This window comes from Homo sapiens, chromosome 1 (genome assembly GCF_000001405.40).
Source record: "Homo sapiens chromosome 1, GRCh38.p14 Primary Assembly".
NCBI lineage: Eukaryota > Metazoa > Chordata > Mammalia > Primates > Hominidae > Homo > Homo sapiens.
The window spans coordinates 171,694,422-171,712,566 of NC_000001.11; the positions used below are offsets into that span (position 1 = coordinate 171,694,422).

Here is an 18,145-nt window from a genome sequence, read left to right on the forward strand (position 1 = left end):
ATCTGCAATCCCGGCACCTCGGGAGGCCGAGGCTGGCAGATCACTCCTGGTTAGGAGCTGGAGACCAGCCCGGCCAACACAGCGAAACCCCGTCTCCACCAAAAAAATATGAAAACCAGTCAGGCATTGAGGCAGGAGAATCAGGCAGGGAGGTTGCAGTGAGCAGAGATGGCGGCAGTACAGTCCAGCTTCGGCTCGGCATCAGAGGGAGACCGTGGAAAGAGAGGGAGAGGGAGACCGTGGGGAGAGGGAGAGGGAGAGGGAGAGCGAAAATTCCTTTCTTTAAGAATGTTGAATATTGGCCCCCACTCTCTTCTGGCTTGTAGAGTTTCTGCCGAGAGATCCGCCGTTAGTCTGATGGGCTTCCCTTTGTGGGTAACCCGACCTTTCTCTCTGGCTGCCCTTAACATTTTTTCCTTCATTTCAACTTTGGTGAATCTGACAATTATGTGTCTTGGAGTTGCTCCTCTCGAGGAGTATCTTTGTGGCATTCTCTGTATTTCCTGAATCTGAATGTTGGCCTGCCTTGCTAGATTGGGGAAGTTCTCCTGGATAATATCTTGCAGAGTGTTTTCCAACTTGGTTCCATTCTCCCCGTCACTTTCAGGTACACCAGTCAGATGTAGATTTGGTCTTTTCACATAGTCCCATATTTCTTGGAGGCTTTGCTCGTTTCTTTTTATTCTTTTTTCTCTAAACTTCCCTTCTCGCTTCATTTCATTCACTTCATCTTCCATCGCTGATACCCTTTCTTCCAGTTGACCGCATAGGCTCCTGAGGCTTCCGCATTCTTCACGTAGTTCTTGAGCCTTGGTTTTCAGCTCCATCAGCTCCTTTAAGCACTTCTCTGTATTGGTTATTCTAGTTATACATTCTTCTAAATTTTTTTCAAAGTTTTCAACTTATTTGCCTTTGGTTTGAATTTCCTCCCGTAGCTCAGAGTAATTTGATCGTCTGAAGCCTTCTTCTCTCAGCTCGTCAAAGTCATTCTCCATCCAGCTTTGTTCCTTTGCTGGTGAGGAACTGCATTCCTTTGGAGGAGGAGAGGCGCTCTGCTTTTTAAGAGTTTCCAGTTTTTCTGCTCTGTTTTTTCCCCATCTTTGTGGTTTTATCTACTTTTGGTCTTTGATGATGGTGATGTACAGTTGGGTTTTTGGTGTGGATGTCCTTTCTGTTTATTAGTTTTCCTTCTAACAGACAGGACCCTCAGCTGCAGGTCTGTTGGAGTACCCGGCCGTGTGAGGTGTCAGTCTGCCCCTGCTGGGGGGTGCCTCCCAGTTAGGCTGCTCGGGGGTCAGGGGTCAGGGACCCACTTGAGGAGGCAGTCTGCCCTTTCTCAGATCTCCAGCTGCGTACCGGGAGAACCACTGCTCTCTTCAAAGCTGTCAGACAGGGACATTTAAGTCTGCAGAGGTTACTGCTTTTTGTTTGTCTGTGCCCTGCCCCCAGAGGTGGAGCCTACAGAGGCAGGCAGGCCTCCTTGAGCTGTGGTGGGCTCCACCCAGTTCGAGCTTCCCGGCTGCTTTGTTTACCTAAGCCAGCCTGGGCAATGGCAGGCGCCCCTCCCCCAGCCTCGCTGCCGCCTTGCAGTTTGATCTCAGACTGCTGTGCTAGCAATCAGTGAGACTCCGTGGGCATAGGACCCTCCGAGCCATGTGCGGGATATAATCTCCTGGTGCCCCATTTTTTAAGCCCGTCGGAAAAGCACAGTATTCGGGTGGGATGACCCGATTTTCCAGGTGCCATCTGTCACCCGTTTCTTTGACTAGGAAAGGGAACTCCCTGACCCCTTGCGCTTCCCAAGTGAGGCAATGCCTCGCCCTGCTTCGGCTCGTGCACGGTGCGCGCACCCACTGACCTGCACCCATTGTCTGGCACTCCCTAGTGAGATGAACCCGGTACCTCAGATGGAAATGCAGAAATCACCCGTCTTCTGCGTCGCTCACACTGGGAGCTATAGACTGGAGCTGTTCCTATTCGGCCATCTTGGCTCCTCCCTCCTGGTACATCATTTTCAAAACTACCATCTTCCTTCACATCTTCAACATAATTAATACATTCAGTAATTATGTGAGCACTCACTGTGACAATTGCTGTTGTAGTGAGTGGTTTGGGATATATCAGAGAAAATTCTGGAATGTTAGAATGCTCTGGAAAAACAGAGGGTAAAGGGATTGGATGGTGTACTCGGGGAGATTTTGAGAAAGTCATTCAAGAGAATGACTTTCATACAGTGGTTGAGGAGGAGGAAGGGCTTTTCTGGCAGGAGAAACAGCAAGTCCAAGGCCTATGGCAGGAGCACACCTGGTGTGTCTGAGGAACAGCAAAGAGGCTGGTGTGGCTGCAGCACAGCAAGGAAGGCAAAGACAAGGGCAGAGGTCAGCAAGGTGACTTGGGGATGCATCACGAGACCCTGTAGGCCACGGAAAGAATTTTGGCTTTCACTCCAAGGAAGATGGGAAGCCACTGAAGAGTTTTCAGCAAAGCAATGGCATGATCTGATTACATTTTGAAAGAATTTTTCACTATTCTGTTGAGAACAGACTCTGGGAAGAGGGGGAATGGTAGAAGCCTGAGACCAGTTAGAAAGCTACTGCAGTATTCCAGGTAAGAGATGATGGTAGGAGAGGACCAGGTGGTCACGATGGAGGCAGTGTGAACTGGTCAGATTCTAAAGATATCTTAAAGGTAGCACCAGAGTATTTCCTGATGAATTAGAGGTGAGTTGAGAGAGAAGTTATGGAGTCAGTATGACTCTACAGTTTTTGGCCTAATTGGAAGGATTCAGTTGCCATCAACTGAGATGGGACAGAATGCATGTGGAGGAGGTCTGTGAAAGCAGACTGGAATGCGTTTGGGACATGCTCAACTTGAAATAATGAAGACGTCAAAAAGAGTACCAGATGACTCCAAATTCAAGGGAAGTCAAGTGGGAGACAACAACTTGAGATTTGTCAGCACAAAGATGTGATTTCAAATGACAAGATTAGGTAAGATTTCTAAGAGAATGTGTGTAAACACTGGACCAAGAGCTGAATCCTGGATACTCCAATATTAAGAGTTGAGGAGAACAGGAGGAACAACCATAAGGGTAAGAAGAAACAAAGCCCTGGAAGCATGTATGAAGGAGAAGAGAGTAATCAACTGCATCAAATGCTGCTGTTGCACAGAGATCAGGACTGACAATGGACCACTGGATTTAGCAATACATAGGTCACTGGGCACCTCCCAAGAGTAAGGCTGGTGGAGTATGGAGGCAAAATCTTGACTAAAGTGTTGAGGAGAATAAAAAAAAAAAATGGAAATAGCAAGTATAGTGAAATCTGTCAAGGACTATTACTATAAAGAGGAGTAAAGATACGGAGTGGAGCCAGGCGTGGTGGCATGCACTTGTAATCCTAGCTACAAGTGAGACTGAGACAGGAGACAGGAGGATTGCTTGAGCCCAGGAGTTCAAGGCTGCAGTGAGCTATGATTGTGCCACTGTACTCCAGCTTGGGTGACAGAGTGAGACCCTGTCTCAAAAACAAAACAAAAAATCCTCTGCAGCCAGGCATGGTAGTTTACTCCTGTAATCCCAGCACTTTGGGAGGCCAAGGTGGGAGGACCACTTGAGCCCAGGAGTTCAAGACCAGCCTGGGCAACATAGTGAGAACCCGTCTCTAAAAACAAACAAAAACCCAGAGCCCATGATTTCAGCACCCATGTTCTTTTTTTTTTTTTTTTTTTTTTTTTTTTTGAGGCGAAGTCTTGCTGTCACCCATGCTGGAGTGCAGTGGCGCAATCTCAGCTCACTGCAAGCTCCACCTCCCGGGTTACACCATTCTCCTGCCTCAGCCTCCAGAGTAGCTGGGACTACAGGCGCCTGCCACCACGCCCGGCTAATTTTTTGTATTTTTAGTAGAGATGGGGTTTCACTGCGTTAGCCAGGATGGTCTCAATCTCCTGACCTTGTGATCCGCCCACCTTGGCCTCCCAAAGTGCTGGGATTACAGACGTGAGCCACCGTGCCCGGCACATCCATGTTATTTCTACTATACAACTCATATACTATTCTGCCTCTCTAAATTCTGCCACAGGAAAGTATATGTCAGGAAGAGGACAATTATCAAAAATGTATAGCAATGAGGGCTGGTCATGTTGGCTCATGCCTGTAATCCCATCTACTCGGGAGGCTGAGGCAGGAGGATGGCTTGGGAGTTCAAGGCTTCAGTGGGCTATGATTGTGCCACTGCACTCCAGCTTACATGACGGAGCAAGACCTTGCCTCTAAAAAAAAAAAAAAAAAAAGATGGATGTGTAGATGTGTGTGTATATAGATATACGCATATATATACATATATTTTATATACACATATACATATATTTTATATATATACATATTTACATATATTTTATATATATACATATTTACATATATTTTATATATATACACACATATATACATATATTTTATATATATATATACACATACACATGTATATAGTGGAATTTGGCGGGGGGGAGTGGAGAAATGACATGGAGTTTTTTTAAGGAAGACAGAGTTAGTATGTTGCTGGGAATGATCAGGAGGATGTTCTCTTTTCTGTGTTTTTACAATGTTACTCATAGGTCCATGTGCATCTTTTTAGACATCCTCAGATGAGATCTGGCCCAATTACTCAATAAATAGGGTAAGTGCACTATCACTGACTGCTCAGCTGTAACTTTGCTTACTAGTCAGAATCCCTTCTTACACTGACAGCTGAAAAGCAGGCTGATAGTCACTGCTCCACAGCAGTTTTTAGTGTTCGATGGGCACACACTAAGTATGACTCTGTTGGATTTAGGTAGTATCTGATCTTCCTGCCCGGTTCTCTCATCTGTTGAATGGTGGATTGTATTAAACACCATCATTCTCAGAGTGCCCTTACCAGGTTGCTTCCTGTCTCCATTTCTAACAACAGCACTTTATTTGTGAAGACTATCTCAGGGTACAACGTGCCTCCAATGTCATCTCCCCTCCCATGGCTTTTTGTAGTATTAAGACAATAAAGGCCTGGTATGGTGGTTCACACCTGTAATCGTAGCACTTTGGGACGCTGAGGCAGGATAGCATGAGTCTAGGAATTTGAGACCAGTCTGGGTAACACAGTAAGACCCCGTCTATAAAAAAAATTTAAAAATTAGCTGGGCATGGTGGTACATGCCTGTAGTCCCAGCCACTTGGGAGAACTGAGGTGGAAGGATTGCTTGAGCCCAGCAGTCTGAGACTGCAGTGAGTTGTGATCGCACCACTGCACTTCAGCCTGGGAGACAGAACAAGATCCTGTCTCAGAAACAAAAACAAAAAGACACAGTTTAGTGTGTGGGTGGAGGGAGGCTAGAGAGAATGAACATTACTCTGGTTGCCTAAAGCACCAGGCAGCTGAGGGACAGGATCAGGTTTTCTGATTGGGACATGTAAGTTTAAGAGAAAACTGCCTGCCTTCCTCTCCTACAGACACTGTGGACTGAGGTAAAGACATTGCTTTACTGAGTTAAAAATCACTAAGAAATTCTTCTTAGATTTTGTCAGTATCAGGCATAATTTTTGGTGAAAGAATGCCTTTTCTTTTTCTTATTTTTCCTCCATGCACTTTATTGGGAAAATAGGATAGATTAAATCAGGGGTGATTATCCAGATGTTATTGTTAAATAAGCTATGCTTTGAAGTTAAGGCAACAGGTAACACATATTGAATAAGCCAAAGTGCTTAATTTTTGTTTTCTATGAAATAGTTTATTTCATTGTTCACTATGGAGGGGCTACAAATACACTTCTGATATTAACACAAAGGTCTAAACTTTGCAACACTGGTAAAAATGGTTATGAGGAATTGAGAAGCTAGGGAACAGGGCACATGACATTTACATTTGCTCATCTCCCACTATACATTTCAAAACATCAAAGGCACTTACCAAAGTGATTAAATAAGGGAGTGTGGAATTTAAAATAATGACATATACCCAAGACACAAAATAAAGGACTTGAATTTTCTTATAGTTTGATTTCTAACATTTTACTGACTAAAATCTCTGCTAATTATGTAATCTACTTTGTGGCTTTAAAATATTGGATACTTTGATTTTAAGACTACTTTAAATGAAAAGAACCTAATGGAATACCATAAAGCCAGAGTTTTTCCACACCCAATTACAGTAGAAGAGCACCCCTATATCCAGGCAAAAGCAAAAGGCCCCACTCTTCAGTCACTCATATTGCTTCTCCAGAGAGCACTGTGGAGTCACCTCTCACTGATATACTAACATGTGGCATCTTTGTGGCTTCATAGGCACATTCATTCAACACACATTTATCTAGCATCTGCCAAGGTTCACAGCACTGTGCTGGGTGCTGGGGAGACAGAAACATGGTGTGGTGCTTACTTTAACAAGCTTACATTTATCCCCTGTAATTGGGTTGGTCATGCTTTCTTTTCAATTCCTACTGATTTGTTCCAAGAAGCTTCTTGGAATAAAACAGAAGCCAGAATAAATGCATTTGTATTCCCATCCCTAATTCTACTTGGTTTCCAGAAGAAAAAAAAAATCAGAATAAGACTATCTCAAAGTATTAAAGAGGATCTAAACCCTACATCAATCTAAAGCATTTAGACAAATGCATTTTTAGACAAAAGCATTTAGACAAATTTCATTTGTCTACAACATGGAAAAAACAAGTTAAGAAGTAGAGCACCTTTCAGCCCTTACTACATTCTAAAACAAACTTGTAAATGCTTTCAAACTGACTTATGCTCTTACTCTCAACTCACAGAAAAATGGAGTCCAATCACATTTCCATGTGAAAACACAAAATTAGGTTAACAGAACAGTCATCCTTGACATAGTAATACTCTGACAATACAATTAAGGGGACATCTTCTAATGGCATTTGTTCTTAACATGGAAAAACAATTTCTTGCATATTTTCTAATCATAGTGTATATACAGATGTAAATACAGAGTCAATGTGTGCAATGATGCTGACAAGGCATCAAGCATGTTTTAGAGTATACCGGCAATGAGAGATTTCAATTACTTTATATTCCTGCCTTCTCAGTCTGTACACATATTATCATTTACAGGATAGTCACATACTATACAGAATTGAAAGATGCCAATTTTTGCTATCAAAAGTGCTGAAGTTATAATTTCCTAATACAGACTATTGAAATGCACAGAAAGACTACAATAGGCAATCTATAGCAGGGCTAACAAAGTATTTCTATATCTCATGTCTATTAATTACCCTTCCTCCATCTTATATAATATTCCATCTTCAGTAATGAACTTTTATCTAATTAAGAAATCCCCCAGTTTATAAAATCTGAGGGCAATTTCCAGTGAACTTTGTCAGGATAGAGGAACCAAATGACCACAGGTATTACTGAGTTATAATAAGAAGGAGTAACCAATTAATCAGTATTATAACAACAAAATTGCTGCAAGGCAATAGGCTTCTGTAATTAAACATAAATCACAAAGGTATGGATTCAGGCATCAAAATAGTGACGTGATTTCACTGAGTATCAACTAGTATTTGCAAAGCTACTTGAATTTTTCTGTTGATCTTCACTTGTTGTTAAATAATGATAGTTTTGATGGTGGTAAAACTTCATTTTTCAAGTGCAGGATGATCTGAGCTGAATGAGAAAAAAAGTAATTAAGGGAGGGAATAAAGGTAGGCCTGGCATCAGTTTGAACAATATATTTTTTTCTTCTGTTTTTGATCGTAAGAGGGCTTATATCTCCAAGGTTACCACAATAAAGTCATAACCATGCCAGCCATTTTAAGGATTTCAGGATTAATCAAGACCAAGAAAGATGAAATGATGAATTACAAACCAAGCCATCACTACTACAAAGTTCCATGAGTGATAATTCTGTTACCCATATCCCAGGCAGCAATATGTTTAAATTACAAAGACAGTGACATATATATTGTCAAAAAATTTTACTGTTACTTATTATTTAAATTTAAAAATTTTATAATTTTACATTTTGTAATTATTTATTTAAAAGTGGCATATTTTATTAAAAGGAACACTGGAAATATGGATACTTTTTGAGAAGTAATCTTCATCTTCACTTGTAGATATTATGGAGAAACCAGATTTCTACATCAACTAATGGAAAATTAACCACTTATGAGCCTAGTTCCAATTCAAATAAAGGACATACATACAAATGTTAGGACTGATTCTGTCCATTCAGTTAAAATATTTCCATTCCTGAATTATTAGCTACTGAAATTCTAAAAATGCTCATTTTTCTGGGTATCTTAACTTAAAAGATTTATTAGCTGTTCAGATGCTGTTTATATTAATTGACATTTACAAAGAGCATAGAGACCAAAGACAATATACACTATAGTATGTAAGACCTTTATCTCCTTCTAAATGCTCTAAGCAAACTATAAAATTTAGTAATTCTATTTAGATCTTCTTAGATAACTTGCAGGTGTCTTGAGTGTCTCAGTCTGCTTTCTCTCTTCAAATTTTTTCCATTCTAAACAGCATTTTTTGCCTCCTAGTAATAATCCTGTAGAATTTTAAAAACAGACAAAAAAACACCAAACCCAGATTCTATGCTTTATTCATTTTGCATTAAGATGACCAAAGAAATAAAACCTAAATAAAATAAACATAAAATCATTTTTCCCTATTTAAATACTGATAATTTCTATTAACCCTATTTTTAATTTAGGGAGTTTTATATTCATATTGTCAAGATATCCAGTGCACAAGTTTCTGCAGAATCACTAATTTTATTATAAAGCTTCCTCTCCCCACACCTTAGGGGACAATGTATTTTCACTCTGACTTGTTTAAAAGACACAAGGAGGTTGGCATATTTTAAAGTTAACACATTTTTTCATTATAAAAACAGGCTTAGGTTAATGGTCACTCTCTAGCATTTGGTTACCGACTGACTGATTATCATATGTGTGCGTGTGTGTGTGTGTGTGTGTGTGTGTTTGTGTGTATATATATATATATATATATATATATATATATATATATATATACACATAGGTTCCTGACTTTCTACTACTCATTACTGTTGGCTGATGCAAAATTTGATTGTGCAACATACATCTCCTCAAGGATGAACAGGAAATGCAAAGATATAAAATTCAAAGTATTAATAGATGGTTTTGCTACTTTTTGTACTTTTGGTAAATGAGATAGTTGGAAGTTAGAGGCTATTAACTAAAATAAAATTAAGGAGTAAGTAAGTTACCTGTAAATTTCATTTACTCACATTAGGACTGACTGGTCTCTCTTTATTGGAGTTTAACAGAAAACAGACTGGACCATGACTGGCAGCTATATATTGGTCATTTTCAAATACTCCAATGACACTCTTCAATAACTTTATTATCTCCAGTTTTATGATGCCATACCATGTTTTTTCACACTGTTTAAAAATTTCCATTTCCATAATCCAATGCCAAAAAAATTACTACACATTCTCTTACACAGTCAAAAATATATTTACTGGAATGTTTTTAGTTATACCTGAGGGCAACAACATTTACAACATTTAGCTTTTGTTACACCTATAAATGTGGAAATTGCTTGCAAAACAACTGTAATATGAAAGGAACTATATTTCTGCAAATATTGACAGAATGGTTATGCATCTCTTTCAGCATATAATTTGGTACTCTACACAGGCTTCCTGACCCCCAGCATGACCCGCTCCCTAATGCAATAATGCAAGTCCTTATGCCATTAAAATATTAATATGAAATATTATAATCAGTGTTTATATACACAAATAATGAACTGGCAAGTATCTAGTTTCAAATTAGATCCTTGAAATATGGAAAAATAGAGGCTAGTTCTCTTTGCCTTAAACATAATTATTAAAAGAACATTTTGTTAGAAAGGGAGAAGATAATTGGACATTCTCAACGTTCCAATTTGAAGTGATACTTGCCTCTTAGTTTCTTGAAAAAGAAGTTTTGAAAGTTATATACACATAGGTTTCATTTAAATTATGCAGCAATCTTTTATTACTGTCCCAGATCTTGTTTAATGAAGATCTCTGTCATCAAATCAAGTACGGTATTTCATGACTATAAGAACTGTAAGAGAAAACATGAAAAAAGCAATATATCAACATCAGATATATATGCTATGTTTGAAGCAATATTCCTAAATGTAGTTGTGTCTACTTTTAGAAATGGGTAATGAGGATTGACTGAACTTTTATCTGAGGTAATAAATAATCAATGGGAAAGGAGAAGCAAAAAATATCATAAAACAACCTAAATGTCTAACATTGGCATCTTAAATAAATAATGGCATAGCCATAGCTTGTATCTGCTGTTAAAATATTACTAAAAATTTTGATAACCTGGGATAATAGTCACAATATATTTATTAGAAAGTACATATAATATAGTCTTAGTTTTTTAAAAAACATGCTTGTATATTAATAGGAAAAGAGAAGTATATATAATAGTTATATTAGTAGCTATCTCTACTAATTGTAAGATTATAGTTGAATTTTTCTTCTTTTTGTTATTAATATTTCACATTTTCCAATTGCTCACTATATATACATGATTGATTCTTGGTTTCTGAGGTAATTATTTTCTATAAGGTCACTACAAACACTAAATTAGTGAATATGGAACCACTGCTTCTAGGGAAAATATAGGGTTAAGTTCCTGTGAGTCTCTGGCTACTACATTTTTGTCAATCAATGCATAACCTTGGTTTATATGTGTTTCTGTTTAAAGACACTTTATTTAATATGTATTATTGATTCAGTAACACTGTGCTCAAGGCCAACAGCACTATAATTCATGCCTGAACAAAAGTTTGCCTAATGTGTATTTTTTCCATGAAGACACATCACAGCTCTCTTGTACTGAGCAACACTAGACAGCACTTCAGCACCACGTGTGGGGACCATTTTAAACAGTGAAATCACCAACAAAAAGCACAACAATGCAGAAAATGTGGTACTAAATAGACTACAAAAAGAATGTTTATGTTATGAGTGCTGAAATAAAAAGGCAGAAATGGCTTTGTTTAACCTCAGCTAGGGATGTGTGGGTTGGGGGACTTACAATTTTTTGTTACTCTGAAAATGTCTGTAAATGACTGTGAAAGCACCATGAGTACTGATTTTGGGGTTACAAATAAATTTTACCTGGTAACTGGATTTGCAAACACGGAATCTATGAATAATGAGGACTGACTGTATTTCTTTGTAACAAAACATTTTTTTCTGTTTAAAAATATAACAGCATAATATAATTTTTCAAATGATTATTTTTAGATACTTTCCAAAGCGTCATAAAACCTCTCTGTAAACATAGGCAGAGGCCTTGAAGAAAAAGAGATATTTAAAATGATCTGATTTTTAAAAGAACATTAAGGGAAAAAGGACGGGAAGGAGTCATGCTTTAATGATGGAAATTATGCTCAACTACAGAACAAAACAAAAACCAAACAAAAAAAAATCATCTGGAGAACGTATTTGGATTTATACTTCCAAAACAATATTACAAAATGCAAACTGCCATTCCTGAGAGTTAATAATAAATAGAAAATGAGTATTTTAGACCTTAGTGTAATAGGAACCAGATTTGGCCTTGAACAAATCACTTAGCCCTGGATTTGGGGGTGAGGGTTGGGGGCAGAACAGGAGTTCCCTTTGAGAATCTGACAAAAGATATAGACCCTCTCTCCATAAAAATGTACATATACATATTCACATAAAATTTTACATATTACTTAAGAGCATTTTCAGAGATCAATAGATTCTAAGAGCTCCTGAGACAGGTCAGAAGTCATTATTCAATCCTGACTTCAGACATACTAGGTCAACTGAAAATAAAAGGGAATTAAAATGAACTCCAAAATAAATGATACCCTAGGAAGTAATAATCCAATAAATACTTACTGATAATCACTAGCAAAAGGATAGCAGCAACCAAAGCCATGATGGCTTTTATCTACAACACACAAAAGGGCATATATATTAATATTTGACTTGTTAATAAAGTCAAGACTATTTGTTGTTCTATTTACTGCATCATACTAAATCATCTCATCACCTTAAGGTTTCTTAACTACAAAACTGACACAGAATGCTCTTAGGCAAAGTTGCTTATTACATGAGGCTATTCATAAAGAATCTAAAATATATTCCTCAAAATGGAGATAAAAATGCAAAGAAGAAAGTAAGGGGAGAAAAAACTAACAGAATTCTCATATACTTTGAAAAAAAGTGCTATAAACTGCTACCTTCGATGTATTGAACCATTTGAATTGCATGGCCTATGTTATTCATCATATCTTGACACTTGAACAGAGTTGCTAAAATACTGTACATTTTCTCTGGTCTCACATTAGTAATAAGCCCATCAAATCATAGAGGTTCAGTTTATATGATAAAGTACTTTAAGCCTTTTTTATTAATCTGAAGCATTTCTAAAACAATTTGGAATTTCTACGGTAGTTTTTCAACTTTACCTGAAATGTACATTAATTTGCCCTGTTAAACGTGTGTTTGGCTTTACTTAAGAAGATTTGAATGAAAACATCAATATCAATTTTAAAACACCTCAATGAATAGAGTTTTCTTCCTTGGGTTTCTAACACTGGGCAGAAAATGTTTACAGCTCCAAATGGCAGTATTGTATTCATGCAAGTCCAAAGCTCTCTTATTCCAAATAACATGAACAAAAATCTGTTTGTCATTAAACATATAAGAGTTTCACAGCCCCCAGATATATTAAGAGAGGTGTTAGCGATTCTCTTTCCCCACCTATGGATAATTTTATTAACTCATTTATTTTTAAAGCCAGGTATATTGAGATACACTTTACAAAGAATAAAACTTATCCTCTTAAAATACTTTTGATAGGTTTTGACAAATATATCCAGCTGTTAATAAACATGACCACAATCAAATATAGGACATTTCCACCAACACCCTTAACAAGTTTCCTCATGACCTGTTGTGAGTCTCCAACTGCACGACATCCCCCTTAGCCACTGGCAACTCCTGATCTGCGTTCTGCCCTTATATCCTTTTTCTTAAAACCCTTCTGAAATTACCATTATGGAAGTCAATCTAGAAAATGGCAGGCACAGGGAGGCTGCCCCAGATGAACAGTAGCACAATGAAGTATTAATGGGGCACAGTAAAACTGAAGGAAGCTAAGCATTAGAAAATAATAAATGAAGAATACTCGCTACTGTAAATGGTGTTTGTTACATTATGGAACAATGATTTTCATTACATGGTCGATGCTATTCATGGTCCCCAGAGGTTCTCAAGGTGATGACTATTTAAAAATATGACTCAATGTTTTTCCTCCTTAAAAGCACGCTATTCCTCTGACCCAAACCCCATAAAGTACAAAGCAAACATTTTTAGCAATGGTTAAAAAAAAAGCTAGGCAAAATGTACATTATGACCATCTTTTTGTGGATACATGAATAGGGTACATGAGTTTGGGAGAGAGAAGGGGTGAGTGGCTCATGGACTTTTTGTTTTTCTAAATTAGCCCACAGAATAGAAAATTTCTATAGATATAGAAGCTTTAGGCAAAGTGTGGTGGCTCATGCCTGTAATCCAGCACTTTGGGAGGCTGAGGTGGGCAGATTGCTCGAGGCCAGAAGTTCAAGACCAGCCTGGCCAACATAGTGAAACCCCGTCTCTACTAAAAATACAAAAATTAGCCAGGTGTGGTGGTGCATGCCTGTAATTCCAGCTACTCGGGAGACTAAGGCAGGAGAATCGCTTGAACCTGGGCTACTTAGGAGGCTGAGGCATGAGAATCACTTGAACCTAGGAGGCAGAGGTTGCAGTGAGCCAAGATTGTGCCACTGCACTCCAGCCTCAGAGACACAGCAAGAGTGCCACAAAAAAAAAAAAAAAAAGACTTTAAAGAAAATAAATTTATTCTTTAAAGAATAAATAACTTAAAATAGAATAGAAAATTTAAATTCTGAACAAGGGGAGAAATGAAACATATTTCTTCCCTCAGTTCCACTTCTGAAAGTAGGACGATTCAATAGGTAGACAAATAAAAATAAATAAATCCAAGGTAACTCTTGGAAAAAATCCTCAGCATATGGCTAAGTCAGGTTTAGAAAGTTATTGCTGGCTGGTGCAGTGGCTCATGCCTGTAATCCCAGCACTTTGGGAGGCCAAGGCAGGTGGATCACCTGAGGTCAGGAGTTCAAGACCAGCCTGACCAACATGGAGAAACCCCGTCTCTACTAAAAAAAAAAAAAACAAAAAAAACAAAATTAGCTGGGCATGGTGGCACATGTCTGTAATTCCAGCTACTCAGGAGGCTGAGGCAGAAGAATCGCTTGAACCCTGGAGGCAGAGGTTGCGGTGATATTGTGGTGAGCCGAGATCAGCCTGGACAACAAGAGCAAAACTCTATCTCAAAGAAAAAAAAAAAAAAAAAAAGGAGAGTTATTGCTAAACTTGAAATTGAAAATGAGAGACTAAAAACAGTGAGTTCATGTCTAAATTTTAAACAAAGCCAAAAATTATAACTAGAATCAGGAGAAAAAAAAAAAAGATTTGCTCATATAACGTGAAAAACATTTTCTGTTAATGATTAGTAGCCACAGTGGATTTAAGAAGTAAATGTATTTCTATACAATGTTTTGCAGGAGTATATATTAGTATGTAGTGATTCCAATGTTTACCTTGTTAAAAATGGTAAAAATTTCTTTTACTTTTTATTTTTCTGGAATAATGAGGGAAGTGGAGTTTTTTCTTAACTCCATTTGTCTTAACAGATTCGGATATGTAAGCTTTTATTTTTTACCCTTTCAACCGAAAGTCATATTTTTCTCTAGCTCCTACTTTTGATATCTCTACATAATGCTATAGAGGTTGCTCCAAAAAAGTATTAATAGTAAATTTCAAGAAAAAATGTATATTTGTTTTAAGTTAATAAGTTTAGAGGTAGTCAAATATTAATAAAATGTGGATTACTTTCATTAAAAAAATCTATGAAAACATCCTTTTAGGCATACTGATTTATTTAGTTATCCCTATCCCAAAAGCAATTAAGTTAACAAGTATTTACTGAATTTCTACCATGTCTCAGGACAGTTATAGGCCCTGTTCTCACAGAGGTTATGCTCTAGAGGCCCTTTTTTCTTCATGTGTTTGAATACCACTTCAGATGCTGACCAGTCTATCCAGTAGCTTCTGATTTACTTACTTTGCATCCACGCCACCACATTTGCCTTCGAAGTTGTTTGGATCTGTTGCTAAAAGCTGTTGCATTATCCGATAAGCTTTCTATATCACATAGAGGATGGAGAGAAGGATTAAACGACATAACAGGATTCTTTTATCTAGTCACACAAAGATAAGAAAATATTAATTTCTACTTCTGCAAATTTATTCCCTTTTAAGCATGAAAACAGCATTCTCCCTTTTTTCCACCCACAAACTCTGGCATTCTACATTATTAAAAAAATGAAAACAAAAAGCAAAAAACAGCTTGCAGATCAGTTTGCTCACTTCTTTTTTATTATAAAATTAAGAAAAGTCTTTTTAGGGCCTTAATGCTTATAAATAAACTTAGGAAATCTAGTAAGAAAAATACTCTTTAAAAATTCAAATACTTGGCACACCTCTAGAAAAAAAATTACATGTTGAGAAGTTAGCTTCTTAGAAGATATCAAAAGTGACTGATTTTAAAGGAAAACAATATACATTTTAAATGTGACTAAGCGAGGTGTTTTTTTTTTTTCTAAAGTCTGTCAAAGATTAATCAGGTATTCAGCCATTCACCAAACAATATTTGAGTGGCAAGTACGTGCCAGGTATAGGTATAGGTATAGGTATAGGTTATAGGTGTAATGACTGAAAGTAAAGAAAGGTGACTAAGTTACCAAATAAAACATAAAATAAAAATAGCAGATAAGTTTGAAACAAGTGTTGAAAAGTGAGTAGGTCTTTAGGCCCTGAGATCATGAGAAACACAAAGTTCATCAATATCACAGGGCAAAAGAAAAAACAGCTCTACTCTTCACTCTTCAACAATGAAATTTTAAATTCTTCATTCTCCACTGAACAATTAAAAAATAATGAAACAATAAGATGACTCAAAGTAAAGGAGTTAAAATTAAACCATTAAAATCATATACTTAAGAACCAAATGCCAATTTCCTAAGCCAAGATTTGTAAACGTTGGCTAGACAAGTAGAAGACAAAAACTAGCAAACAGATTAGTAATATCAAGAAATACATGAAGATCTGTACCTGATTTGTCCTGTAGTTCATCTAGTCTCTCCCCTCTCTCAATTACCTTTGTAATATTTTCTTGCATGACATCAATAACTTCATCCACTTGATTCTGAACACTAGTTTAAAAAAGATACACAATTATTTATCCTTCTTTTGAGAATGCTTACAATTTTTAAAACTTTCATTAGACATAATAAAGAATAGCAAATTCTCAGAGAATTATTCAACTATAAAATTTAAATTTAAGACTTTGTAGCAATGTTCTTCCATTTGTGGGCTTCAGTACTCAGATAATGAAAGACAATATGATATAAATTAAAGTAATATTTAAAGATAGCTTACTTTTAGCCCTGCTTCTGACTTGTAACTCATAAGCAAGTTAAATGTACTGTCAGCATGCCCGTTAAGTACAGAATTTAGTTAAACAGCTTCACTAAAAATAATCAGTTTTTCTTTTCAACAGGCTATTGAGGCAGCACATAGACACCGCTGTAGCCTACTTTTGCCATATATTTCATACATGAAGGCTAACAAAGGAGGTACCTTAACATACTTTTTAACATACCTTTTGCTCAGGTAAGGTAAAGGCTTATGAAACATACCTAGTTTCCAAAATGGAAATGTAGGGCATATTCTAAGAGATACTGATGCTCAATGGGTAGAATTCTTCACTGCTCATCAGATTTTTCTTAAACAGGATATAAGACAACTGGGGACACCTGGGAATATTTTGAAGTACCCACCAGGAAGCAAAAAGGAAAAAATTGTTTTCTGTTTTTCGATTGTTTGTTCATCCTTTATATTAGATGATGGGGGCCTGTTTTAACCAAATTTCAGGCTGTTCAATAAAGACTTAACCTAAACTTAAAATTGTAATAACTGTCCTCAGCTATCTACTCTCATTCAGGAGTTACCTCCAGAGTATACAAACATGGACATGTTTAATTATTTTAAGTGTCTTATTCTCCTCTGTTGCTCTAACCACAAAAATTATTTTAAATTACTTTACGAAATAAGTCACAACAATGAAATATTTAAAAGGAGAAATAAAGCAAATCCATGGTCCTCATACTAAACACTGTTTAAAGTGCATTGGATTACTAGCGACTACAGACATGTACTGCATAACATTTTGGTTAATGACAAAGCACTTTTACAACACTGGTCCCATAAGTTATAATACCATATTTTTACTGCATGTTTTCTACGTTTAGATATGTTTAGACATACAGATATTTACCATTGTGTTATAATTACCTACAGTATTCAGTGCAGTCACATGCTGTACGGGTTTGTAGCTTAGGAGCTATAAGCCATACCATATAGCCTAGGTGTGTAGCAGACTACACCATGTAGGTTTGTGTAAGTATACTACTCTATGATGTTCACACAATGAAACTGCTTAATGATGCATTTCTCCAAACATAGCCTGTCATTAAGGGTCCATGATGGTTATAAACATTAAATGTATATATATTTAAATAGATGTAGATATGCAATTGTGTTTCTACTTGGAAAAGGAAGAAGTGTGTAGGGGGCTTTAAAAATTTTTTACAATACACAAATATGGTCTCCGCCCTCTACCCCACACAACTCCCCAAACTAATGTAGTAAGTGAGGGGTGAGGCACAGTCATGTTTAATTTTGAAAGAGTTCTATCCTTTCCGATCACTGAGCTAGTTCTTCAAAAAGTTTGCTATAAAAACAAAATGAAGGCCCACTTAGACATAGGTGGATTCAGAAGTACTCTCAGATTCAAGTAGCAATTACTAAGCTTGATGACAGTCACTTCCCTCCCATGTTAAAAGCATTATGTACACCCACTGATTACCCACACATAAACTTCAAGATTTTTCACAGCATCCCAG

General features: G+C 37.1%; 1 protein-coding gene across 4 annotated transcripts in view; it reads right to left on the minus strand.

Moving 5' to 3' along the window:
- Positions 1-5,738: 5,738 nt before the first annotated feature.
- Positions 5,739-18,145, minus strand: part of VAMP4 (vesicle associated membrane protein 4) — a 41,906-nt gene continuing 29,499 nt past the window's right edge. For 2 of the 4 annotated variants that reach the window (NM_001185127.2, NM_003762.5), the window contains exons 5-8: positions 16,293-16,393; positions 15,244-15,323; positions 11,946-11,997; positions 5,739-10,113 (exon numbers count right to left, since the gene is read on the minus strand). In NM_001185127.2, the coding sequence (NP_001172056.1) occupies positions 10,085-10,113; positions 11,946-11,997; positions 15,244-15,323; positions 16,293-16,393 (262 nt within the window). In that variant the 3' untranslated portion in view covers positions 5,739-10,084. Of the gene's footprint in view, positions 10,114-11,945; positions 11,998-15,243; positions 15,380-16,292; positions 16,394-18,145 lie in introns of those variants that run through there. The other 2 variants (NR_033704.2, XM_047433375.1) reach the window with 2 other exon arrangements.